The sequence below is a fragment of the Homo sapiens genome, chromosome 22 (genome assembly GCF_000001405.40).
Source record: "Homo sapiens chromosome 22, GRCh38.p14 Primary Assembly".
NCBI lineage: Eukaryota > Metazoa > Chordata > Mammalia > Primates > Hominidae > Homo > Homo sapiens.
This window is the reverse complement of record NC_000022.11, coordinates 30550714-30575446: the sequence shown is the minus strand read 5'-3', so window position 1 is coordinate 30575446 and position 24733 is coordinate 30550714. Positions and strand designations below refer to the sequence as shown.

The 24733-nt window shown below is 53.3% G+C and overlaps 1 protein-coding gene across 20 annotated transcripts, besides 4 other annotated features; it reads left to right on the top strand.

Annotated features, from left to right (window-relative positions):
* On the top strand, positions 782–20812 carry GAL3ST1 (galactose-3-O-sulfotransferase 1). Of its 20 annotated transcripts, NM_001318116.2 has the most exons (5): positions 14671–14706; positions 15029–15170; positions 17059–17168; positions 18046–18185; positions 19354–20812. In NM_001318116.2, exons 4-5 carry the CDS (start codon positions 18055–18057, stop codon positions 20492–20494), a joined length of 1272 nt encoding a protein of 423 aa, NP_001305045.1. In that variant the 5' UTR covers positions 14671–14706; positions 15029–15170; positions 17059–17168; positions 18046–18054; the 3' UTR covers positions 20495–20812. The 20 variants fall into 20 exon arrangements, with proteins under 20 accessions (NP_001305033.1, NP_001305032.1, XP_011528820.2 ...); NM_001318104.2 differs by lacking the exons at positions 14671–14706; positions 15029–15170 and adding an exon at positions 782–981; NM_001318108.2 differs by lacking the exons at positions 14671–14706; positions 15029–15170 and adding an exon at positions 2581–2760.
* Positions 862–1542: an enhancer, noted in NCBI's record as "H3K4me1 hESC enhancer chr22:30969892-30970572 (GRCh37/hg19 assembly coordinates)". NCBI's record gives its function as "activates a minimal SCP1, AML or CMV promoter by ChIP-STARR-seq in naive and primed H9 embryonic stem cells {active_cell/tissue: H9 hESC(naive and primed)}" and the evidence as "EXISTENCE:reporter gene assay evidence [ECO:0000049][PMID:30033119]".
* Positions 1543–2224: an enhancer, noted in NCBI's record as "H3K4me1 hESC enhancer chr22:30969210-30969891 (GRCh37/hg19 assembly coordinates)". NCBI's record gives its function as "activates a minimal SCP1, AML or CMV promoter by ChIP-STARR-seq in primed H9 embryonic stem cells {active_cell/tissue: H9 hESC(primed)}" and the evidence as "EXISTENCE:reporter gene assay evidence [ECO:0000049][PMID:30033119]".
* Positions 3880–4381: an enhancer, noted in NCBI's record as "H3K4me1 hESC enhancer chr22:30967053-30967554 (GRCh37/hg19 assembly coordinates)". NCBI's record gives its function as "activates a minimal SCP1, AML or CMV promoter by ChIP-STARR-seq in primed H9 embryonic stem cells {active_cell/tissue: H9 hESC(primed)}" and the evidence as "EXISTENCE:reporter gene assay evidence [ECO:0000049][PMID:30033119]".
* Positions 9818–10018: a silencer, noted in NCBI's record as "peak4480 fragment used in MPRA reporter construct". NCBI's record gives its function as "represses an SCP1 promoter by STARR-seq MPRAs in K562 erythroleukemia cells {active_cell/tissue: K562}" and the evidence as "EXISTENCE:reporter gene assay evidence [ECO:0000049][PMID:32103011]".
* Positions 20813–24733: the final 3921 nt, after the last annotated feature.

Sequence of the window (24733 nt, the reverse complement as noted above, 5' to 3'; positions counted from 1 at the left end):
TGCTGATGTGGAATTTTCCCCATTCCAGAATCGCCCAGTAATGGCGGGGGCAGTGGGGCTCTGACGCATCCCAGGCCCCACTGGGTGGCCAGCTGGTTCCTTACTGCCCACAGCTGGCGCTGAGGATTCCTGGCCCCTGGCAGGCATTGGTCCTCATCCATGGTCTTGCTCCTCTGGGGTGAAGAAGGAAAGGCCAGGCCTGGAAAATGAGACAGGGCCTGGATGGGACACCTGCCTCCTGGTGGCCTTGCTCAGCCCTCATTGGCACCCTAGAGAGTGACAGCTGAGACCTCCAGGTGACAGGACCAGTTGGAGCTCAGTCTCTTGCTTGAGCTCCCTCCACTCCCATGAGTGCCAAAAATGTGTCGTCCCCAGTTGGCACTGACTAGAGCAAGAAGCCGTATGATCCATTGGATCCTAAGGGCCCCAGGACCCCCCAACCAAAGTTAAGCAATAGTCCGTCCGCCGCCTTTTTCCCAGAGCCCTGGCTCCCCTCCCCACCACCACCAAGCCTGGGCATCCTCAAGTCTTCTGGGCTGGGGGCTCCGTTGAGCCAGAGGACCGGGGCGGGACAATGGCCCCGTTGGCGCGTCCGAGACAAACGGGCCTTGTTGGGCCGGCGGCGGGGGCGCAGCGTTGCGCCCCAGCGCGCTGAATGCGGCTTCTGTGCGTCTCGGGCGGGCGCAGAGGGGCCGGGATGGGGCGGGGAGGGGGCCGGCCCGGGGCGGGGAGGGGTCTGGGGTCCGGGGCGTCCATTGGCCCCGGCGCCGGAGGCTGGGCCAGGCTGGCGGCGGCACCTGGCCGGGAGCGGGCGCGGCGCGGGAGCGGGCGCGGCGCGGCAGCGGCGGCGGGGGCGGGGGCATGGACCAGGCCTGGTGGAGCGGGGGGCCCGGCCGGGTGCGCCCCGCCGCCCAGTGAGCGCCCGGGCGGCGCGGCCCGGGCCGAGCCAGCCACGCTGAGGCGGAGGAGGACGGGGACAAGGTACGTCCCGGGCTCCAGCACCCACTGCCAGCTTGAGCCCTGCCTCAGTCTACTCCCTGGGGATACCGCCCACATTACGCTAACCCCCAAACTGGGACCACGCGCCGGAGGAGGGGAGTAGGAGTGCAGTACCGCTGTTCTAAGCGCTGGGTACCCCTGCCCACTGCCAGAGGGTGGCCTGGTAGGGGCCAGGGAGGGCACAGGTTGGTGCCCCCCATGCCCTTGGTTTTTTCCCCTGTCCCCCAACCCCCCTTCCAGGGCTTCCCAGTCCCTGAAGGTGGGATGGGTGGGGCAGAAGGCAGGCTGCTGGGGCTGAGCTGGAGCTGGGAGTGCGTTAATGATTAATCTTGGACACAGTGGCCAGAGCCCTAGGGGAGGAGGGGCAGAGATCTCCCCTGTCTCCATCAGCCCTTCCTAGAAAGGGGATCAGAGCAGGAACCGGAGACCATAGTAAGGGATGGATCCCCTCTGCTGGGGGAAGGCCCTGGCCTGTACCCCAGAGGAAGCAAAGCCACCAAGGAGAGGTTTGGGAGAGTGGGACAAACCCTGGCATCCAGGAGGGGTCCTATAGGAAATCCTACAGTTCCTGTTTCCTAGCCCAGTGCCCAGGAAGGGGGTCCAGCTTGATCTGCCCCTTCGGTGCCAGGCCAGCATTTTGGTACCAGCACAGAGCACACTACAGACCGAGCCCTGCCCAGTGGGAACTGCCCCGCCCAGCTGCCCAGAGCCAGAGAGGTGATGGGCATGTCTGGCTGCTGTAACCCACACCAGGGGGAAGGAAAGGGAGAGAAGGCAGCATGCCTGACACCTGATCCCCGGGCTGCCGCGGTGACAGGTGCATGAGAATCCTCCAGAGGGGAGAGAGGTGTAGAGGACTGTCCATTCCAGTTGGGAAAACCCAATCTCTTCCTTTACTGACGGGGTGACCTGAGGCCCAGAGAGGGTGAGGCTCATCCAGGCCCACACAGGGGGCACAGGAGGGCAGTCCTGGACCAGAGCAGTCACTGTGTACGCACTGTTCCTTGTCCTGTGAAGGAGGCATTGCTACCTATCCCCATTATCCAGAGGGGGATACTGAGGCTCAGGGAAATTCAATGACTTGTCCAAGGTCACATGGCTCAGAGGTAGCTGAGCTGACTCCAAATCATAGGAGTCTTGCCCTGGCCCCCATTTCAGGACCCCAGCCCAACCCATGACCTCTCTCTGCTCCTTTGGGGTCCTGCCTTCTTGGATCTGCCTGGGCTGCCCCAAACCCTCAGCTCTGGACACCCCCCCTCGCCTCCCTGGCTCCCAGCTCCGCCTGACACTTCAGCGGGTGAGCAGGCTGCTACCCCGGGAGCCGAGACAACGAAGCCCTGTTCCCAGCTGCCACCTCAGCCTGCTTTATTCCCTGCTTGCTCAGGCAGAGCCCTTCCTGGAGGAAGCTCCTTGCGGACAGAGAATGCCTGGTCCCCATGCATCCCCTTCCCTTAATGGGTCCGATGCCCTCTTGTCGCCCAGCAAGGGAGGAGTGTGTCCCCCACAGCCCCTCCCACTGTGTTCTGAGGGACTGGGTGTGCCATCCAGTGAAAGAGGCAATGATTAACCTGAGAGAATGATGCACAAATGGAATTCTGGGCCCGGCTGCAGGCTCCTGAAGGGCTCCTTGCTTCACTTTGACTGGGTGAGGAATATGGATGAGCCCTTTTAGGGGCTCCACACGACTCCAAACAGGGCAGAGCAGGATGGAACACAGGTGCCCATGGGGGTCATCAGGCTGGGGACTGCTGGAATCTCCAGGTGAGGGGTGATGGTGGGAGGAAGTGGGGGCCCAGAAGATGCCTGCCTTCCCTCCTGCTAGTTCTGGCTCCTTGGATGGGGATGGTATCCTTCTAGAAGTCTGGACAGAGCCCGCTTCCCCTACCAGGTGGGATCTAGGAGGATCACAATACAATCAGAGGAGCTAACGCTGAGTGTGTGAAGGGCTCTGCGTGCCTCACAGCAGGCCTGTGAAAGCATCATAGTACCTGCCATTTTTTAGGAAACCAAGGCTCAGAGAGGGGAAGTCACTTGCCCAAGGTCACCCAGCTTGGGGGGTGGTGGAGCCAGCATTTGTTACCAGGCGAGTTTCCAGGAATGGAGAGGTGGGTGTATGTATCTCCGGCATTGTGCATTGCAAGTGTCAATACCTTTTCACAAACCTTTATATTGTTACATAGTTTTAGGCAAATAAGCGCATAAGAATCCTTAAAAAATATTTCAGGCATGTTGTAAGGTACAGAGACTGATATTATCAACTCCTACATACTCAGCTCTGGGGTTCTCAGCATTTTTGGAGCTAATGACAAAGTGACTGACTTCTTGGTGAAGCTGTGACTTGCAACGCCCCAGTTAGCGCTTCTCTAAGGCTACTCAAATCCCCCCCTCAGGAAGCGGGGTGATTTACCCAGACAAGGCAGTGTAGCAGGAAGAGCTGTGGCCTTGCTCCTCATTTTGGCTTTGCCGTGTAGGCAAAAAAACTGAGCCTCAGTTTCCCCACACATCACATGGGGCTAGCAGAGGAGACTGGGAGTGTCTGTCAAGGTCACAGGCATGGATGCCCTTTGTTTTTGTTTTTGTTTTTGAGACGGAGTCTTGCTCTGTCACCCAGGCTGGAGTGCAGTGGTGCAATCTCGGCTCACTGCAAGCTCCGCCTCCCAGGTTCACACCATTCTCCTGCCTCAGCCTCCCGAGTAGCTGGGACTATAGGCGCCCACCACCAAGCCTGGCTAATTTTTTTATAATTTTAGTAGAGACGGGATTTCACTGTGTTAGCCAGGATGGTCTCAATCTCCTGACCTCGTGATCTGCCCGCCTCGGCCTCCCAAAGTGCTGGGATTACAGGCGTGAGCCACTGCGCCCGGCCGTGGATGCCCTTTGAAACAGCAGAGAGAGATGACCCCGAAAGTTCAAAAAGTGCTTTCTGAATCATCAAAGAACATTACCCTCTCTCAACTGCTGGGCCAGCTACCACCTGCATCCACCCCTGCAGGCTAGGTCGCAGCAGGGGCCAGATGTCTGGGCTGACATTTTGGAAGTGGTCCTCTGAGCCAGCGAGTTGGGATCCAGCTGAAATGCTCCAATAGGTGGTCTTCCCCCTCTCTGCTCCAGCACCCCATTCTAGAGGGGCTCAGATTGAGGAAGCTTCTAGGTGCTTGCAAGTCACTTCCCCAGTACCCCTGGATGGAGGGTTAACCTATCCCATCCGCCCCTTCTGCTGTGCCACCCACACTTCCCAGCTCCTTCTCAGTCCCAGGCCCCTGTTGCCCCTTCCTCACTTGGTGCACTGAGGTTCAGAGAGGGCAGAGTGTCTTGCCTCGGCCACACAGTGAGGAGAGGTGGGGCTCATCTTCCTCCAGCCAGGCTGCAGATTTTCAAAGTGGAAATATCTTTATTTATCTTTCCAAAGTAATATAAGCTGTTTTGTAAAGAGTGTGTGTGTGTGTGTGTGTGTGTGTGTGTGTGTGTGTATCATCACAGAATCAAAATATGTTCCAGAAAGTGAATGGGCTTACTCCCCAGAGAGCTACAATTTATAACTGGGTGTCTTTCCAGACCCTTATACACATGTACGAATGTACAACTTTTCTCTACATGAATAAGTTTATTCCATAAACAGTGCATTCCAGGCTTAATATTAGGCAACTCTTTTTTTTTTTTTGAGACGGAGTTTCGTTCTTTTTGCCTAGGCTGGAGTGCAATGGCACGATATTGGCTCATTGCAACCTCCGCCTCCCAGGTTCAAGTGATTCTCCTGCCTCAGCCTTAGGATTAAAGGCATGCGCCACCATGCCCAGCTAATTTTTGTATTTTTAGTAGAGATGGGGTTTCTCCATGTTGTCAGGCTGGTCTCAAACTCCCGACCTCAGGTGATCCACCCGCCTTGGCCTCCCAAAGTGCTGGGATTACAGGCGTGAGCCACCACATCCGGTCAGGCAACTCTTTTTTAATCTCTCCGAGCCTCAGTTTCCTCATCTTCTAAATGGGGGTAAAGGCTCTGTGAGCACTGGAGGAAATGATACTGCAGTGGCCACTTTTATATGCCCATCTCAGATTGATTGTTAGATTATCTTTGAGCCACATTCCTGCAGGTGGATTGCTGGGTCTGAGAACAGGCACACTCAGAACTGTAATAGCTGCTGTCAAATCTGCACTACGAACATCATAGGGAGAGTTGTTTTGCTCCACTCTTGAAAGCTCCTTCCATATCCCGATGGGATTCCACTCCAGCTACAGAAAGCCCTGGGATACCTCACCCCACCACCTTCTCTGCCAGAGCCCTGTTCCTGTATGTGCATATGAGCAAACAGCACGGATGTGCCTCAGTTGGTGAATGGCTTTTGTTTCTTGGAGTTTCTTTTTTTAAGATGGGGTCTCACACTGTTGCCCAGGCTTGGAGTGCAGTGGTACGTTCATACCTCTCTGTAACCTTGAACTTCTGGGTTCAAGGGGTCCTCTTGCCTCAGCCTCCTGAGTAGCTGGGGCTACAGGCGTGCACCACCACACAGGGCTAATGTTTAAATTTTTTATACAGATGGGGTCTCACTGTGTTGCCCAGGCAAGTCTCGAACTCCTGGGCTCAAGCAATCTGCCTGTCTTGGCCTCCCCAAAATGCTGGGTGGCGCACGCCACCGTGCCCGGCTGGGGAATGGTTTATGGGGGAATAGCGGTGCTGCAAACTCTGATACAGCCCTAGCTGCCCTGTTTTGTCTCCTTAGGGAGCTCTTCTTCACCCTGCTCCGTAAGCACAGGCTCCCTGTCCTTCCTCACCCTTCCCTGGTGACTCTAGTTATTCCTATGGCCTCAATTCCCACTTTGGTGCCCAGCTCCCCGCCTACCTCTTTCCCTCCCCCAAGACCCCCCTCTTTGCTCCTACTGCTCTTCAGGCATTCTATGATCATCCCAAACATCCCTCAGACTCAGAGTATTCTAAACAGAACCAGACACCACCTGCTTCACCCAGCATTCAACCTGGCCCTTTCTCAGCCTCCCAGACTCAGGGACTAGCTCTACCTCCAGCCAGCCAGTCACCCAACAGCAACTCTTCCCTCCTCTCCTCCATACCTGCTGCCAATAGGATGCTACCTTTGCATGGTCTACAGACAGCTCTGGTACTTCCCCAGCCTTCTTGTTCCAGGTCACACCTGCACAGCTGTAACAACTACTATGGAGGTCGGCCTGCTCCTCCCTCTCCTTCCCCATCCCTACAGTTCATTTCTTACCCAGTAGCCCAATGGGAATCCCATCTGCTCCCTCCTCTGCTGAAGACCCTCCTGTGGGTCTGTCCCTACAGCCCACAGGATCTAGGTGAGACTCAGTAGCATGCTTCCTGAAAGCCCTGCATGTCCCTCTTTTTTTTTTTTTTTTTTTTTGAGATGGAGTCTCGCTCTGTTGCCCAGGCTGGAGTGCAGTGGCGCGATCTCTGCTCACTGCAAACTCTGCCTCCCAGGTTCAAGCGATTATCCTGCCTCAGCCTCCCGAGTAGCTGGTATTACATGCGCCTGCCATCACGCCCGGCTAATTTCTGTATTTTTAGTACAGACGGGGTTTCACCATGTTGGCCAGGCTGGTCTCGGACCCCTAACCTCAGGTGATCTGCCCGCCTTAGCCTCCCAAAGTGCTGGTATTACAGGCGTGAGCCACTGCGCCAGGCCTCTGCATGTCCCTCTTAACCCTGCCCTAGTTTCTGGCTGTCTCTGTAGTCTCTCCCCTGCCCACCCAGCCTATTACACGCAAACACACCAAACACTCCAGCCAGGTGGAAAGTTTGTTTCTCAATTGCCCTGGGCCTTTGCATGTGCTTTTCTCTCTGTGTGGCTCATTCTAGGGTAACAGGCATATTAGTTAATGCTAGCTGCTGTAACAGACAAACCTGAAGTTCTAAAAGGCTTAATACAGTTCTCGTTTTCTTGAAATCCAGTCAGTGTCTGGTGGGTGGAGATGCAAAGACCTAGGCTCCTCCCAGCTCCGCCCATGCCCAGATCCTTGGAGACCACCCCGTTCATCCAGTAAATGGGAAAGGAGACCACAGAAAAGGTCCACCCACTTAACCTCATCAGCTGGCATTCTGTTCACATATCATTGGCCAGGACCCAGTTATGTGAGGACACTGAACTGCAAGGGCGCATGGGAAATATAGTCTAGCTGTGCTGCCGTGGAAAAAAGGGGACTGTCTTTGGAAATTGGAGACCACACAACAGCTTCTGCCACCAGAGGCCCCTACCCCAGGAAGCCTTCCTGATACTGCTGTCTCCGCCCCAAGGCTGGATCAGGTGTTTTCTTCGTGCTTCTGCAAGCCTCAGACAATCCGTTGTCCATCACACGCCTCACAGCTGTGTGTTCCTGTGTCTCCCCAGTTAGGACTGTGAGCCCTGAGTTCTCTGCACCGGGTTATCATGAACTCTAGTCCTGGAGTGCAGGTGCCCAGTAAATACCTGTGGGATGGATCAATTTAAAACTATCACGGGCTGGGCGCGGTGGCTCACGTCTGTAATCCCAGCACTTTGGGAGGCTGAGGCAGGTGGATCACTTGAGGTCAGAAGTTTGAGACCAGCCTGCCCAAGGTGGTGAAACCCTGTCTCTACTAAAAATACAAAATTAGCTGGGTGTGGTGGCGGGTGCCCGTAATCCCAGCTACTTGGAAGGGTGAGGCAGGAGAATTGCTTGAACCCAGGGGGCAGAGGTTGCAGTGGGCCGAGATTGCCCCAGTGCACTCCAGCATGGGTGACAAGAGTGCAACTCTGTCTCAAACAACAACAACAACAAAAAACAACCAAACAAAAAACTATCGTGGCTGCAAGATGTCCACAATTTATCGATAGGTGGGAAAAAAGCAAGTTAACAAAATATGTCCCCAAAGAAGCACGTGCATCTGGGCTCCATGGCTCACACCTGTAATCCCAGCACTTGGGGAGGCTGAGGCAGGAGGGCCACTTGAGCCCAGGAGTTCAAGACCAGCCTGGACAACATAGCAAGACCCCATCTCTACAAAAAATCAAAATGCCAAAATTAGCCAGGCGTGGTGGTGCGTACCTGTAGTCCCAGCTACCTGGGAGGCTGAGGTGGAAGGGTCTCTTGAGCCCAGGAGTTTGAGGCTGCAGTGAGTCATGATCACGCCACTGTACTCCAGCCTGGGTGACAGAGCAAGACCTTGTGTCAAAAAAACAAAAACAGTTTCCATTCCATCATCTATATAAATATATGGCCAGAAATCCTGTGATGGTGATGACCTCTGGGGTTGGGGTTCTTTTAATCATCTTCTTTATACTCTTCTGTATTGTTTGAATTTTTTTTTCAGTATACTGCTTTTATCATTGAAAAAGTTTTTGCTGGGCACCATGGTGCATGTCTGTAATCCCAGCTACTTGGGTGGCTGAGGCAGGAGAATTGCTTGAACCCAAGGGGCAGAGGTTGCAGTGAGCCAAGATCTTGCCACTACACTCCAGCCTGGGCAACAGAGTGAGACCCTGTCTCAAATAAAATAAAATAAAATAAAAATTTCCTGGGGGTGGGGGTAGAGAACCAGCCAAAGATGTCATCGGCTGGGCGTGGTGGCTCACGCCTGTAATCCCAGCACTTTGGGAGGCTAAGGTGGGCAGATCATGAGGTCAGGAGATCGAGACCATCCTGGCTAACACGGTGAAACCCCGTCTCTACTAAAAATACAAAAAATTAGCCGAGCATGGTGGAGGGTGCCTGTAGTCCCAGCTACTCAGGAGGCTGAGGCAGGAGAATAACATGAACCTGGGAGGTGGAGTTTGCAGTGAGCTGAGATGGCGCCACTGCACTCCAGCCTAGGCGACAGAGCGAGACTCTGTCTCAAGAAAAAAAAAAAGATGTTATCATCAATACTCTGGAAAGAGACCCCTCTGGCAGGGCTGGAAGCACAGGTCTACCATCAGTGCTCCCTACTCTGGAAATCTTTGCTTCCCTTGGCTAGTTGCTCACCTCCTCAGCCACGATCTCACTTCTTGTTCAAAAGCCTGCACTTCACTCTCACCTAGATGAAGTTCTCACTCCTCTATAAAATGGAGGTGATAACAAGAGCTCCCCAGAGAGGACTATGAGGCTGCATGATGCATGACAGGTCCCAAGCACAGAAGTGGACCGTGTTGGGTTCAGAGTCCACGCTAATAAACTACAGCCCCTGCGGTTTGATGCCAGCTCCGCCCTGACTCACCGTCAGAAAGCTGTCTTCATTCTAGCTCAGCTCAAAAGGCAGAAGGTCAATGGGATGTTAGGCTGGATAAAACAACTCCATACCATGTCCCAAACCTGGTTCCAGTACCTAGAGAGAAGGCGACTCTGGTCTGCCTTGTGGCAGTTTAAGCTCTGGTGTTTCGTGGGTGCTTGGGGGCTGCTCCCAGACTGGTGAGGCTTTGAGGGAAAGGGGGACTCAGAGCAAGTGAGGATGCCTGCTGTTCCCTGGGAGAGGCTGGCAGCTGCTTAGCCTATGAAAGTGCTTAGTGTGGGATGAATGACTGTCACAATAATGATCATTATTAATTGATGGTGGCACCTGGGTCCCTAAATGGTGACACCTGCCTGGTCCATGATGGGGTTCTAGGCAGCAGTGCTGAAGGGAGGATGGAGGAGGCATTTCTGGGCACAAGGAGACCCTCTGCCCATGGGCAAAGCTGAGACAACTGACCTGAACCTAAGATTCAAGTGCCTGAACTGAGTCCTAGGGTTCCTGGGGCTTAGGGCCAGGGCACCTAGAACTGCCTCTTCTGCCAAGGCCTTGGGGAAGATCTGCATCTCCAATCAGCCCAAATCCTGCAGAGCTGGTCGAGTGTCTGGGTATCACCATTCCTCACCCAGGGATAGAGGCAGGACACCCTCTCTGATGAAAGATTTAGAGCTCAGGAAGTGAAATCTTGCCAGACTCATCTTCTGAGCCCTGGTCAGATGCTCTGCCTCCTGGAAGCCTTCCAGGCTGAGTTAGTTGTTCATTCTTCTGGGTTCCCACAGATTTTAGATAAACCTTGGTCCCTGGTTGTGTCTCAGCATCTTTAAGCCCTGGAGTTTGGCAAGTCTGCGTATGTACTCCAGCTCTGTCTGCCCTCTACTAGCTGCGTGACCTTGGGCAGGTGACGTTACCTCTCTGAGCTTTGGTTTCTTTACCAGGAGGGTAGACTAACAGGGGTGCTTGATGCATCAGCTGTGAGACTTAAATGAAATGCAATAGGTGGGGCAATTAGCCCTCTGGCACCCCAGCCCACCTGCACCTCTCTGTCCCTCACTCAGCCTTAGAGCCTGTTCTGGGCTCTCTGCAGGCGTCTGCGGTTGCTGTGTCCTTGGCCCAAGGATACCTGGAATCTTTCTGTGCCCTTGGATGAAAGAGCTGCTTGCTTGTTGGGGTCCAAAGAGAGGTGAGGACTGGCCAGAGCTGTCCAGTGGAGGCAGAAGGCCTGGGCAACACCTGCAGGGTACTGGGGTGTGCCACCTGCTATCCCCAGGAAGCAAACTCATGAATATTCACACCACTGGAGTGGGAGGGAGCCAGCCAGCTTGCTGCTGGGTGTCATTGGAGCATTCCTGTCTCCCAGTGATCGCAGAGGCAGCCTGGGAGTTGGACGTGGCTCAGGCAGTGGGTAGAAAGGGGCAGCCAGCCACAGCCCGAGGTGAGTGTGTCTCTTTTGCTCCACCACAGGGGTTACAGGGAAAGTAGGATACCCTGAGACCTGACTGGTGGTGATGCTCTAAGCCAGAAGGTTTACCATCCTGGGCTGAGTTTCCCTTTGTGCATGATGTGGGGGAATAAGTCCTGTTTCTCCTTCATTCCCTGGAGGGCATCAGTTCAGCTAAACAGGAGGATGGCTGGGCCTGGCCTGCTGCCAGCTGCCTGCACTGATGCAGGCCAATGTGATGGGCGTAATCTAGAAGGGCAGGAATAGATGGAGTGGGCTGGTGACGGGGGGACCGTCCATCCTGAGTGCCTGCAGTTGTCACTACTGTGGGTGGAGGAGGTGGGAGACCCAGGTTCTAGTCCTGTCTCTGCTGCTGCTGGGCTGTGTTACCCCAAAGGTATCCTTGCCCTCTCTGAGTCTGAGCCTCCCTGCCTCTTTGTCTTCTGACCCTGAGGCTAGGAGTCTCTGGCTACATTGAGATCATCCCTGGACTTGGCTGCCTGCAAGCCTCCATCGTGGGCCAGTGGGCACACACTTTGATGGGGTTGTGGCTGGGACCCTGGGAACGTAATGATGATAATGATGATAACAATGATGGCAGGCCCTGCTGAGTGACTGTCTGCTCTGCACCAGCCTCGGGCTGGGTGCTTTCCCTGTGGAATGCAGAGGATCTGCACAGCACCCTGTGATGGAGGGTCAGCTGGTACAGGTTGAGTATCCCTTATCCGAAATGCTTGGGACCAGAAGTGTTTCGGATTTCAGATTTTTCAGATTTTGAAATATATGCATATATGTAATGAGATATCTTGGAGATGGAACCCAAGTCTAAACATTTAAGTTTAGAAAGAATTTATGTTTCTTTCTTTCTTATTGATTTTATTGTTTAAGCTTTTTTTTTTTTTTGAGACGGGGTCTCGCTCTGTCGCCCAGGCTGGAGTGCAGTGGAGTGATCTCGGCTCGCTGCAAGCTCCGCCTCCTGGGTTCACGCCGTTCTCCTGCCTCAGCCTCCTGAGTAGCTGGGACTACAGGTGCCTGCCACCAAGCCTGGCTAATTTTTTTTTGTATTTTTAGTAGAGATGGGGTTTCACTGTGTTAGCCAGGATGGTCTCGATCTTCTGACCTCATGATCCACTCACCTCGGCCTCCCAAAGAGCTGGGATTACAGGCATGAGCCACTGTGCCCAGCCTAATTTTAATTTTTTTGAGATAGGGTCTTGCTCTGTAGCCCAGGCTGGAGTTTAGTGGCACGATCATGGCTCACTGCAGCCTCGACCTCCCAGGTTCAGGTGATACTTCCGCCTCAGCCTCCCCAGTAGCTGGGACTACAGGCATGCACCACCATGCCTGGCTAATTTTTGTATTTTTTGTAGAGATGAGGTCTTGCCATGTTGGTCAGGCTGGCCTCAAACTCCTGAGCTCAAGTGATCCTCCTGTGTCTGTCTTTCAAAGTGCTGGAATTACAGGCATGAGCCACCACACCCCATCTTCATGTATGTTTCTTATACACATAGCCTCAAGGTAGTTTTATTTTTCCCTTCAGGATGCTAAATAAACCTGCGCTTTGACTGAGACCTGTCACGTGAGGTCAGGTATGGAATTTTCCATTTGTGGTGTCATGTAGGCATTCAAAAAGTTTTGGATTTAGGGACATTTCAGATTTCAATTTTTATTTTTATTATTTTTTAATCCATTTATTTATTTTTGAGAAAGAGTCTCTCTCTGTCACCCAGGCTGGAGTGCAATGGCGCAATCTCAGCTCACTGCAACCTCTGTCTCCCAGGTTCAAGCAATTCTCCTGCCTCAGCCTCCCAAGTAGCTGGGATTACAGGTGCGCACCACCACACCCGGCTAATTTTTTGTATCTTTAGTAGAGACGGTGTTTCAGCATGTTGGCCAGGCTGGTCTTGAACTCCTGACCTCGTGATCTGCCTGTCTCGGCCTCCCAAAGTGCTGGGATTACACCGGGCCTGGCCCATGGGAGCTTTTACATGCATGTGCCTCACATGTATTACTTTCGTCTGTAGGTCTCCTACACAGGATCTCTCCTGTGTCTCAGTGAGGTGTTGTCTGCCTGGACCATGTCCTCATCCACATTCTCTGCACGGGCTCTATAGCCCTGGACACCTTCTGCCCTGAGGGTCATGGGAAGTCATTCATCACACATTCACCAGGTGCCAGGCTCGGGGAGCTCAGGGATGAGTCACTGGTAGGCTTGCCTGCAGCGGGGCATGGAAGGGACCTCACCTCTGGCACGCCGGTGAACCAAGGCTGGGTCAGAGTCAATGGTATGATAATAATTAATATGAGTTGATCTCCTGGGTACGTGCATTATCTCAGTCTCACAGCCTTAGGGCATGGCATGGTGGCTTACACCCAGCACTTTGGGAGGTGGAGGTGGGAGGATCACTTGAGGCCAGGAACTCAAGATCAGCCTGCAACATAGTGAGAGCCCCCATCTCTACAAAAAATTAAAAACTTAGCTGGGCATGGGTGGTATGCACTTGAGCGGCCGAGGTGGGAAATTCACTTGAGGCCAGGTGTTCGAGACCAGCCTGGGCAGTAGAGTGAGACCCCCATCTCTACAAAATTTTTTTTAAAAAGTAGCCAGGCATGGTGGTGCATGCCTGTTAGTCCTAGCTACTCAGGAGGCCGAGGCAAGAAGATCCACTGAGCCCAGGATTTCAAGGCTGCAATGAGCTATGATCGTGCCACTTCACTTCAGCCTGGGTGATGGAGCAAGATCCTGTCTTTTTAAAAAAATTATCTCATAGCCTAGTGACTGTTCTCCCTCAAGCCAGGCTCCTGGCTGCCAGCTAGCTCCTCTCCCGACCTCAGTCTGCCCAGGGGCTCTGCCTGTGATTACAGAGCGCTCTGTGTGCCTTGATCTTGCTGTTGTGTGTCCATTGCACACACGAGGAGACTGAGGCTTAGGGAGGGTGAGGTTCATAGCTTCATGCCTAAGTTTACAGTAGCTAGGCAGGAAAGGCACAACCAGCCTTGGACCCCTCAGGTGGCTGGCACGGGAGGGACGGACACCAGGGCCCCCTCTGCTTTCCCTCCCCTTATCCTGGCCGCAGGCTCAGCCCACAGAGACGGGACCCTGCTGTGCTCCCAGGATAGAGCTTCCTGTCCAACCCCACATCCCCCACTTCCTGCAATGCAACTTTCCCTCCTTCCTTCCCCTGGGCTTGGGACAGGGCTTAGGACACACCAGGCAGGGGCTGCCATGGACAAAGCAGGAAGCAGCACATTGGAGTTCCATAGACCTGGGCTCTAATTCCAGCCCTGCCCCCGCTTTGCTGAATGACCCTGGACAAGTTATGTCACCTCCTGGAACCTCACCTTTCCCATCTACCAAATGGGGGTGACAGCAGGGTGGGGGGTGGAGTGGTATCCACTGAGTGGTTGCTGAGTAGGGTCAGTTAGATGCTCTGGAGAGGCAGGCCCCTGCTTTGGGCCTGGCTCCTAACAGGGGCTCAAAAGTAAAACTAGGAGGGATAGCCCAAGGTTCAGTGGCTGGCAGCACCCAGCACGTGTGGCAGGGGCCTGGCAAGCTTTGAGAAATAGCAAATGGGGGCCAGGCTCAGTGGCTCACGCCTGTAATCCCAACACTTTGGAAGGCCAAGGCGGGTGGATCGCTTGAAGTCAGGAGTTTGAGACCAGCCTGGCCAACATGGTGAAACCCCGGCTCTACTAAAATGCAAAAATTACTTGAGTGTGGTGGTGGGCACCTGTAGTCCCAGCTACTCGAGAGGCTGAGGCAGGAGAATCACTTGAACCCAGGAGGTGGAGGCTGTAGTGAGCCGAGATCACACCACTGCACTCCAGCCTGGGCAACATAGGGAGACACCGTCTCAAAAACAAACAAAAGAGCAAATGGGAGAATGAAACCAGTGAGTGAATGAGTGAATGAGTGTACCAGTAATGGGGTTGGGGGGGTGCGGGTGGAGGAACTGTCCTGGGCGGGGCCAGGTGGAGCCTGATTGGCGGGGCAGGGAGGCTGGTCTGCCCCCTGCTGCTGGGCCTGAACCTCAGCGCCTCCACTATTGCAGCCTCCCTGATTCCAGAAGGTACCTTGGTGAGTGGGGCTGCTGGGGCCGGGGTGGGTCCTTGGGATTTCCAGAGGGCAAGCCACAGGAATCCTAATCCCTCCTCATCTTTAAGTCAGAGAAACTGAGGCCCAGAGTTTTGGACTATGATCTGGTCCACGACTCTGCCCTGTTTTCTGCTGGGTCGCTGAGAAGTGGGAGGCTGACAGGGGTGCTTGAGGCTGAGGCAGGTTTGTGCTTTGTGGGCGGCCCAGCCCCTACTCCTTTTGGGGTTGAAGGCAGGCCCCCCGGGCCTCAGGAGGGGTACAGATAACACTCTAAGTGATGACTATGTGCTGGTTGCTTGCTTAGAAAAGTTCTCCAGAGAATGGCTAGGGGCGCCTCCAGCTTTCTCATTTTACAGATGAAAAACTGAGACTCCATGAGGGTTCTTGGCTTGTCTGAAATCACAGTGCTGGATTGAAACACAGGCTTGAGGGTCCCAGAGCCTGAGGTTGGTGCTGGGGCCCCTCCATGGCTGCCGGGTTTATTCCGCTTTGCAAGCTTTCTGATTTGTTACTTAAATGTGTTAAGTAACAAATTAACTAACACATTTGTTAACGTGTTGACAATTATTGCCTTTTTTTGAGATGGGGCCTCACTCTGGTCACCCAGGCTGAAGTGCAGTGGTGCGACCTTGGCTCACGGTAACCTCTGCCAACCTCTGCCCCCCAGGCTCAAGCAATCCTCCCACCTCAGCATAACTTTTCCAGGGCATAGTGTGTGTGACCCTCCCCCAGGGGGACTGACTCCAGGGACAGTGGTGATAATGCATGCATGTAGTTATTAGCACATGTGACTTTTCCTGGCCTCAGGGGCCCAGGGCGCAGTGCAGTGTGAGCCAGGACAGAAGTGGAAAGTTCGGGACAAGAGTAGAAAGTTTGGGGACCTGGTTTTGCAGCTAAGGGGAGGTGGGAAGGCCCTCCAAGCCGCAGCTCTCTCCTGGACTCCAGTTCCTCAGCCTGAACTGCCCCCGTTACAGTCCATGTCTCAGTCCCCTGCTGATAGGGTTGCCACGCTTAGATCATCCCCCAAAACAAATAACAACAGGCTGGGCACAGTGGCTCATGCCTATAATCCCAGCACTTTGGGAGGCTGAGGTGGGAGGATTGCTTGAGTCCAGGAGTTCAATACCAGCCTGGGCATCTCAAAAATAATAATATAAAATAAATATTAAAAATGTATAAAAATGGGCCAGGCGCGGTGGCTCATGCCTGTAACTCTAGCACTTTGGGAGGCCAAGGTGGGCAGATCACAAGGTCAGGAGATCAAGATGATCCTGGCCAACATGGTGAAACTCCATCTCTACTAAAAATACAAAAATTAGCTGGGTGTGGTGGCGTGTGCCTGTAATCCCAGCTACTTGGGAGGCTGAGGCAGGAGAATCGCTTGAACCGGGGAGTCAAAGGTTGCAGGGAGCCGAGATTGCGCCACAGCACTCCAGCCTGGCGACAGAGCGAGACTCCGTCTCAAAAAAATAAAATAAACATATAAAAATGAAAAAATAAGGAAATAACAACAAAACCTCCAGGACATCTAGTTAAGTTTGAAGTTTGAATAATTTTTTTTTTTTGAGACAGAGTCTCACTCTGTCACCCAGGCAGGAATACAGTGGCACCATCTTGGCTCACTGCAACCTCTACCTCCTGGGTTCAAGCGATTCTTCTACCTCAGCCTCCTGAGTAACTGGGACTATAGGGGCATGCCACCACACCCAGCTAGTTTTTGTATTTTCAGTAGAGACAGAATTTCACCATATTGGTCAGGCTTGTCTCAAACTCCTGACCTCAGGTGATCCACCCTCCTCGGCCTCCCAAAGTGCTAGGATTACAGGCGTGAGCCACCGTGCCCAGCCTTGGAATAATTTTTAGTATAACTATGTCCCATGCAATATTTGGAATATACTTATACTGTAAAAAATTGTATTCATTGTTTATCTGAAATTTGAATTTAACTGAGCAACCCTACAGGCTGGCTTTGGAAAGGGGGTGGGTATGTGAGCAGAGGCCTGGCCAGCTGTGTGACTTGAGCCTTCTTCTTCCCAGCTGTGAGCCTCAGTTTCTCCATCAGCCACCCTACAGACTCTAGGGGCACAAGGGCCAGTGAGGAGAGAAGAGCCCTGGGCTCTTACTGGGCACCTCACCTGTACCACTGTGGGGTGGGTGGCACAGGGGACAGGTAGGGCTGGCTGTGCCTTCTGAAAGGTGAAGGATTCAGGCCCCAGAGAGCCCTTGGCCTTCCCTATAGACAGCCCTGGCCCAGGCCTGGGGGAGGGAGGGCCCAGGGCACGGGGAGAGGGTCTTCTTTTCCTTCTTATTTATTTGTTTATTTATTTGAGACAGGGTCTCACTGTGTCATCCAGAGCTGGAGTGCAGCGGCACAGTCATGGCTCACTGGAACTCAGGCTCAAGCAATCCTCCCGCCTCAGCCTTCCAAGTAACTAGGACTACAGGCATGTGCCACCACGCCTGGTGAATTTTTTTAAATTTTGTTTTGTAGAGATAGGTTCTCACCATATGCCCAGGCTGGTCTTGAACTCCTGGCTCAAGCACTCCGCCTGCCTCATCCTCCCAAAGTGCTGGGATGACAGGTGTGAGCCACTGTGCCCAGGCTTTTTCCTTTTGCCTTAGAAAAGTGTTTCATGGTCGGGCGCGATGGCTCACGTCTGTCATCCCAGCAATTTGGGAGGCCAAGGCGGGCGGATTGCTTGAGCCCAGGAGTTCGAGACCAGCCTAGGCAACGTGGCAAAACTGTCTCTATTTTTAAAAAAATTAAAATATAAAAAAGGAAATAATTTCATTATGATGCCCTAAAAGGTATAAAAAATAACTTCAGGATCTGGGAGAATTTGAAGTAAAATTGAAGAATGTTTTAAATATATATTTTTATAAAAAATACAAGAAAAAGAAACAGAAGAAAAAATAAGATAACTAAAAAAAAAAAGGTAATAAGTATTAGTTGTCTCATTTTTTCTTCTGTTTCTTTTTCTTTTATTTCTTATCAGCCAGCTTAAAAATTAAAAGGAGTGGAAAGTTTGGGGCCCTGGTTCTCTACCCGGTTCATTTTAATTTTTAAATTTTAACCTTCTCCCTGCCCCATTCCCCAACCTCTCTTTGAGTTGCTTCACCCACCGTCTCTGCAACCCTGGGGCTGTCTCTTTCCAGGTGGTTGTCAGTCTATCTCTCCAGTGCCTCTCTGTCCCTGTCTGGACCCTGCTGGGGGGCCACAGAGCAGGCAAAGGCAGGGCTCAACTGCCAGGCCTGGGCAGCCTTGGGGGCTCCCTGGGGCCAGCTTCCTGACACTTGCCCTACTCTGTGCTGCCCCTGCAGGTGTCTGAGATGCTGCCACCGCAGAAGAAGCCCTGGGAGTCCATGGCTAAGGGGCTGGTGCTGGGCGCGCTCTTCACTAGTTTCCTGCTGCTGGTGTACTCCTATGCCGTGCCCCCGCTGCATGCCGGCCTGGCCTCCACGTGAGTGGCCCAGCTGGGCAGATGATGGGTGTAGGTGGGGGAGGGATGGCACCCCACCCATGGGGCCCTGTAATTACCACAGGGCCTGCCCCAGTGATCTTGGGTAGCCACCCTGCACCCTGCACCATGCTGTGCCAGACAGAAATTCCACTGATGGCAGAGCTCGCCGTGTAACTCTGAGCCTTGGTGTGCCCATCTGTGAAGTGGGGATAAAAACAGAGCCTTTCGGCTGGGCACGGCAACTCACGCCTGTAATCCTAGCACTTTGGGAGGCCCAGGCGGGCAGATCGTCTGAGGTCAGGAGTTCGAGACCAGCCTGGCCAACATGGTGAAACCCCATCTCTACTAAAAATACAAAAATTAGCTGGGCATGGTGGTGTGTGTCTGTAATCTCAGCTACTTGGGAGTCTGAGGCAGGAGAATTGCTTGAACCCGGAAGGCAGAAGTTGCAGTGAGCCGAGATGGCACCACTGTACTCCAGGCTGGGCCAACGGAGTGAGACTGTCTCAAAACAAAAAGAAAAACAAACAAACAAAAAAAACCCAGAGCCTTCCTCATAGAGCATGAGAATCAGGTAACACTGTCTGTACAGGGCTCAGATTTGCATCATCTGAGATGCCAACGGGGCCCTGGTGGGGGCGACCTGTCCATGGGCATGGATTCAAACGGGTCGGTCTGACTCCAGGCCCAGCTCCTGAGAACCAGGCTCTCCCGTTTCCTCATGGGGCTGCTCTGCACAGACCCAGCACAGCCTGTAGCTGGTGCAATACCAGTGGTTGGTGATATTAACTTGACACAGAGGAAACTGCAAATTTCTGCAAAAATGGACCATTTTTGTCCTATAAAATGGCAGTTTCATGTGGCCCAAGCTGATACTGATTCATGGTACATGCAACACAGTGGCCATGAATGAGAGGAGAGCCTGTGTGCCTCATCTCACAACACCGTGAATAGGGCCTGTTATCGTCCCCATTTCACAGAAGAGGAACATGAGGCTAGAGAGGCCAAACCACCCGCGCAGGCACCCAGCCTGGACTCAGGCCCCACAGGTCTCACTATCCCAGCTCCTTTGCCACCACTGTTCCCAATAATCTCCCTCTCTAACTACCAGAGTCCTGAGGGCCCCAGCACCCCCCTGAGGCTCTCCCCACCTCTCTGTCCCCAGCAGGACCCCGGAGGCCGCAGCGTCCTGCTCTCCACCTGCACTCGAGCCAGAGGCAGTGATCCGGGCCAACGGCTCGGCGGGGGAGTGCCAGCCGCGGCGCAACATCGTGTTCTTGAAGACGCACAAGACGGCCAGCAGCACCCTGCTCAACATCCTGTTCCGCTTCGGCCAGAAGCACCGGCTCAAGTTCGCCTTCCCTAACGGCCGCAATGACTTCGACTACCCGACCTTCTTCGCCCGCAGCCTGGTGCAGGACTATCGGCCCGGGGCCTGCTTCAACATCATCTGCAACCACATGCGCTTCCACTACGACGAGGTGCGCGGCCTGGTGCCGACCAACGCCATCTTCATCACGGTGCTCCGCGACCCCGCCCGCTTGTTCGAGTCCTCCTTCCACTACTTCGGGCCGGTGGTGCCCCTCACGTGGAAGCTCTCGGCCGGCGACAAGCTGACCGAGTTCCTGCAAGACCCGGATCGCTACTACGACCCCAACGGCTTCAATGCCCACTACCTCCGAAACCTGCTCTTCTTCGACCTGGGCTATGACAACAGCCTGGACCCCAGCAGCCCGCAGGTGCAGGAGCACATCCTGGAGGTGGAGCGTCGCTTCCACCTGGTGCTCCTTCAAGAGTACTTCGACGAGTCGCTGGTGCTGCTGAAGGACCTGCTGTGCTGGGAGCTGGAGGACGTGCTCTACTTCAAGCTCAACGCCCGCCGCGACTCGCCCGTGCCGCGGCTCTCGGGGGAGCTGTATGGGCGCGCCACCGCCTGGAACATGCTGGACTCCCACCTCTACCGCCACTTCAACGCCAGCTTCTGGCGCAAGGTGGAGGCCTTCGGGCGGGAGCGCATGGCCCGCGAGGTGGCCGCCCTGCGCCATGCCAACGAGCGCATGCGGACCATCTGCATCGACGGGGGCCACGCCGTGGACGCCGCCGCCATCCAGGACGAGGCCATGCAGCCCTGGCAGCCGCTGGGCACCAAGTCCATCCTGGGCTACAACCTCAAGAAGAGCATCGGGCAGCGGCACGCGCAGCTCTGCCGGCGCATGCTCACGCCCGAGATCCAGTACCTGATGGACCTCGGCGCCAACCTGTGGGTCACCAAGCTCTGGAAGTTCATTCGCGATTTCCTGCGGTGGTGACGTCCCACCGCCCAGCGGCTTGCCTGCCTGCTCGCTCCCTGCAGAGGGGCTGAGCAGGACGCCGCTGGTGCTGGCCGCCCCCAGCCCCCTCCTGGTGCCACCTCAGACCCCGGGGTGAGGGGGGGCTCCCTGGGGGGAGGCAGCCAGCCAAGACTGGGCCCATGAACACAGAGAGGGCCTAACCGAGATCAGTATTTAACTAATTATACCAGTTTTTATTAAACCCCTTTCCCTCCCCGATAAAGAATGTTCTATTTCTGCCTCCCCTTAAAGGGGAGACCTCAGAAGTAAAGGAATTTGATGTTGTGTTTTTGTTAATCAGCCTCAGTGGTGGTGACTTGGGGTGGGGGTTGGGGTGGGGGGAACCCAAGAGACCACAGTGGTGCCTGGGTGAGTCTGTGGGCAGAGCCCAATGGGGTGGCAGGGATTTGATGTGTTATTTGCTATATGCTATAGTTCTATATGGTTCAGGGACTCCCATGAGCTACCAAGGCCTGGAAAAGCGCGTGTGTATGTGTGCGCTTGTGTGCACGTGTGTGCATGTGTGCATGTGTGTGTGATCATCCTAAGGAGTACAACAGAGTACAACAGTTACTCACTCTGACTGTGTGCCCGGCACTAGGCTAAGGGCATTATCTCAACCCATCTTCACCAAAACTCAGCGACCTGGGGACTGTTATTGTCTCATGCTAGAGACAATGAAGGGTGCTCAGAGAGGGACAATCACTTCACCAAGATCACACAGCAAGTGGTAGGACTAGAGTAGGGGGCTGGGCGGGTAGAGGGTGTGGCCGGATCAGAATAGAGAGAGAGAGAGAGAGGGAGGAAGAGACAGGGAGGTGGCAGGGGTGGGGCCACTCAGTAGGGCATTGCCAACAGGCCCTGGGCCCAGGCTAAGGGCTTCTTGCACAGACTTCATTACTCCTCACAATAACTGAGGTCGTTATAATTACCGTCCCATTTTACAGATGTGGGAACGGACATTTGGACAGGGGAAGGGATTTGCCTGAGGTCACGTCGCAGGACGTATCAGACCAGGGACTCAAACCATCTCCCAGGGACCCCAAAGCCTTCCCATCTCCAGTGCCTGTCTCTCCCCTCCTCCACCCTCTCCCTCCATCCCTACTGGTCCCTGGCTCCTAGCCTGCCTCACTCTGTCTCTACCTGCCCCTCCTACTTCTGCCCCCCTATCCCAGGCCACCTCCCACACCTGCCTATACTCTGCCCCAACAAAAGCCCTGGGCTTCCCTGCTCCACCGTGAGATTCCATTCAATTAATCCAAAAAAAAATTTGGTATCCACCAAATCCCTGTTGTGCCCCCCAGCCCTGAGCTGCTCTGAGCATACAGCAGTCAACAAGCTAGCCAACTTGCTATTAGTGCCTGCCTATAATCCCAGCACTTTGGGAGGTTGGGGTGGGTGGATCTAGTGAGCCCAGGAGTTATACTAGCTTCAGCTACATGGCAAAATCCTATTTCTACAAAAACAAACAAACAAACAAAAACCACCACCAACAAAAAACAAGTTGGCCAATCCCTCCTGGGGCTCATATCCAGTGGGGAAGATGGCCACCAAGAAACCAATGCAGGCTGGGTGTGACTGACTAGGATGTGGACACACCCAGCTCTAACCACTGGCCTCATTCAGCATCCCCAGTGGGAGAGAAAGTCCTGGGGCACAGGACTTTCAGTCTTCCAGCTAGGAGCTGGCATCCAGGCCTGAATGGCAGAAACCAAAGTCAGGTGACTCTTTTTAATTTTTTTTTTTGAGACAGGATCTCACTATGTTGTCCAGATTGGTCTTAAACTCCTGGGCTCAAGCGATCCTCCTGCCTCAGCCTCCCCTGAGTAGCTGGAGGAGAATGCCACTATGCCTGGCTTCAAGTGACTCTTTATTTGAGACCTATTTATTTGAGACTCTTTATTTTAGACTCTTTATTTGAGACCTGTGTCAGGTTCCAGGCCAAGTGCTTGCATACCTTATCCAAATATATTCAGCCTCCCAGCTTTTAGACTAAAACTCAGAGAGGTTAAGTGACTTACCCAAAGTCACACAGCAAATTAGTGCCAGAGTCAGAATTCAAACCCATACCAGTCAGCTATTAACCTCTCACTGGGCTTGGGTTATTGCCTCCTAGGAGTGAACTTCTGGCCTGAGTAGAGTGAGGAGGAGTTAGGGTGACCAACCGTCCCAGTTTTCTGGAACTATCCTGGTTTTAGCATTGAAACTCCTATTTTCGAGGAAACCCCTCTGTCCCAGGCAATCAGGACAGTCCATCACCCTGAGAGAGGTTTGACCCCACCAATCCCTTAGAGCCACTGCCGGCACTTTCATAATGTTCTTTGTGGCAAGAAATAATATTGTTTGCAGCACACGCATGAGACCTTTAATTCATATGGAGAGAAATAAGGGAAAAAAAACCACTGACAGTAGCTGAGACTATTCATAGGAAAAGATGTTACTGATCCCAAATTCATGAGATAATTGCTCCCACCTTTGGTTTTGTTATAGAGAAGAGTGGTCTCCAACTCCTGGCCTCAAGCATTCCTTCTGCCTCACCCTCCCAGAGTGTTGGGATTACATGTGTGAGCCACCATGCCTGGCCTTCCTCACTTTTATTAATCAATGATACATGTAACTTAGTGTGCAATATAATATTCCGAGTTTAAGGAATTCCATACTAATCATATCTCCTGGGGCCCCTAAAGGCCTAGAAATGCCAGTAATAATATTATTTATTTATTTATTTATTTTGAGATAGAGTCTCATTCTGTTGCTCAGACTGGAGTGCAGTGGCATGATCTCGGCTCACTGCAGCCTCAAACTCTTGGGCTCAAGTGATCCTCCTGCCTCAGCCTCCCAGGTAGCTAGGACTACAGGCACTCGCCACCACAATTGGCTAATTTTTTGCTTTTTGTAGAAATGGGGTCTTGCTATGTTGCCCAGGCTGATCTCAAACTCCTGGCTTCACACAATCCTCCTGTCTCGGCCTCCCAAAGTGCTGGGTTACAAGCACAAGCCACTCCACCCAGCCTATTGCATGATTTATTTTTATTATTGTTACCAGTATTTTGAGGCCCTTAAGGATCCAAGGAGAACAAATCTGTCAGACAGCAGTGTCAGGAATATAAATTACTGCATTGGAATTTACAATCCACCTGGTTTGTTCTAATGGCATTATTATAGTTATTAACTCTTTTATTAACATTTATATTTTATTTTTATTTGTTTTATATATTTATTTTTTAGATGGAGTCTCGCTCTGTCATCCAGGCTGGAGTGCAGTGTTGCAATCTCAGCTCACTGCAACCTCAGCCTGCTGGGTTCAAGCGATTCTCCTGCCTCAGCCTCCTGAGTAGCTGGGATTGCAGGCATGAGCCACCACACCAGGCTAATTTTTGTATTTTTAGTAGAGATGGAGTTTCGCTATGTTGGGCAGGCTGGTCTCAAACTCCTGGCCTCAAGTGATCCACCCGCCTTAACCTCCCAAAGTGCTGAGATTACAGGTGTGAGCCACTGCACCCAGCCAACATAATTTATATTTTAATAAGTGATCATGGGGTACTGAGCCCTACGTCCAGCCCTGTGCAATGTGGAAACATGGGCGATCCCTTTTGCTCCCCCAAGGAAGTGACTGAGATGCAAAGAAGCTGTGCAACCAGCCTCTGCCAGGGTCACAGAGCAAGGCAGCCACTGAGGCAGGATGCATACCCAGGCAGGTCTGACACCAAGGCCGGGGCTCCAGGGCTCCAGACCTGCAGCACCATTCCAAGTTGGCCACCTCAGCCTCAGGACTGATGGACAGTCCACCCTGAAAAAGTATGGGGTCTACAAAGGGCTTTGCCGTCAGCCCTGACTCGTGGCTGGGTTGGTATCCGCTGACCTGATGTGTGAAAGCCAGAACAGCGGTCAGGGCTGTCCCCTGTGAGAAAGTCAGTGGAACCATCTGTTCCTCTGTTGTGGGTTGAACTGTATCCCTCAAAAAGATATGATGAAGTCCTCACCCCCTGTTCCTGTGAACGTGACTTTATTTGAAAATACATCACATGAGGCCAGGAGTTTGAGACCAGCCTGGGAAATACAGTGAGACCACCCCCCACCAATTCTCTACAAAAAAATACAAAATAAAACTAGCCAGGCATGGTGGCACACACCTGTAGTCCCAGCTACTCTGGAGGCTGAGGTGGGAGGGTTGCTTGAGCCCAGGAGTTTGAGGCTGTGGTGAGCCAGGATCACACC

Bases quoted from the DNA above. Each gene is read 5' to 3' on its own strand.
- GAL3ST1 (XM_011530518.3), top strand. From the start codon at position 2,579: ATGCACAAATGGAATTCTGGGCCCGGCTGCAGGCTCCTGAAGGGCTCC. The intron at 2,645-18,045 runs GTGAGGAATATG...CTGCCCCTGCAG, and splicing joins CCTTGCTTCACTTTGACTGG to GTGTCTGAGATGCTGCCACC. The intron at 18,186-19,350 runs GTGAGTGGCCCA...CTCTGTCCCCAG, and splicing joins CATGCCGGCCTGGCCTCCAC to CAGGACCCCGGAGGCCGCAG.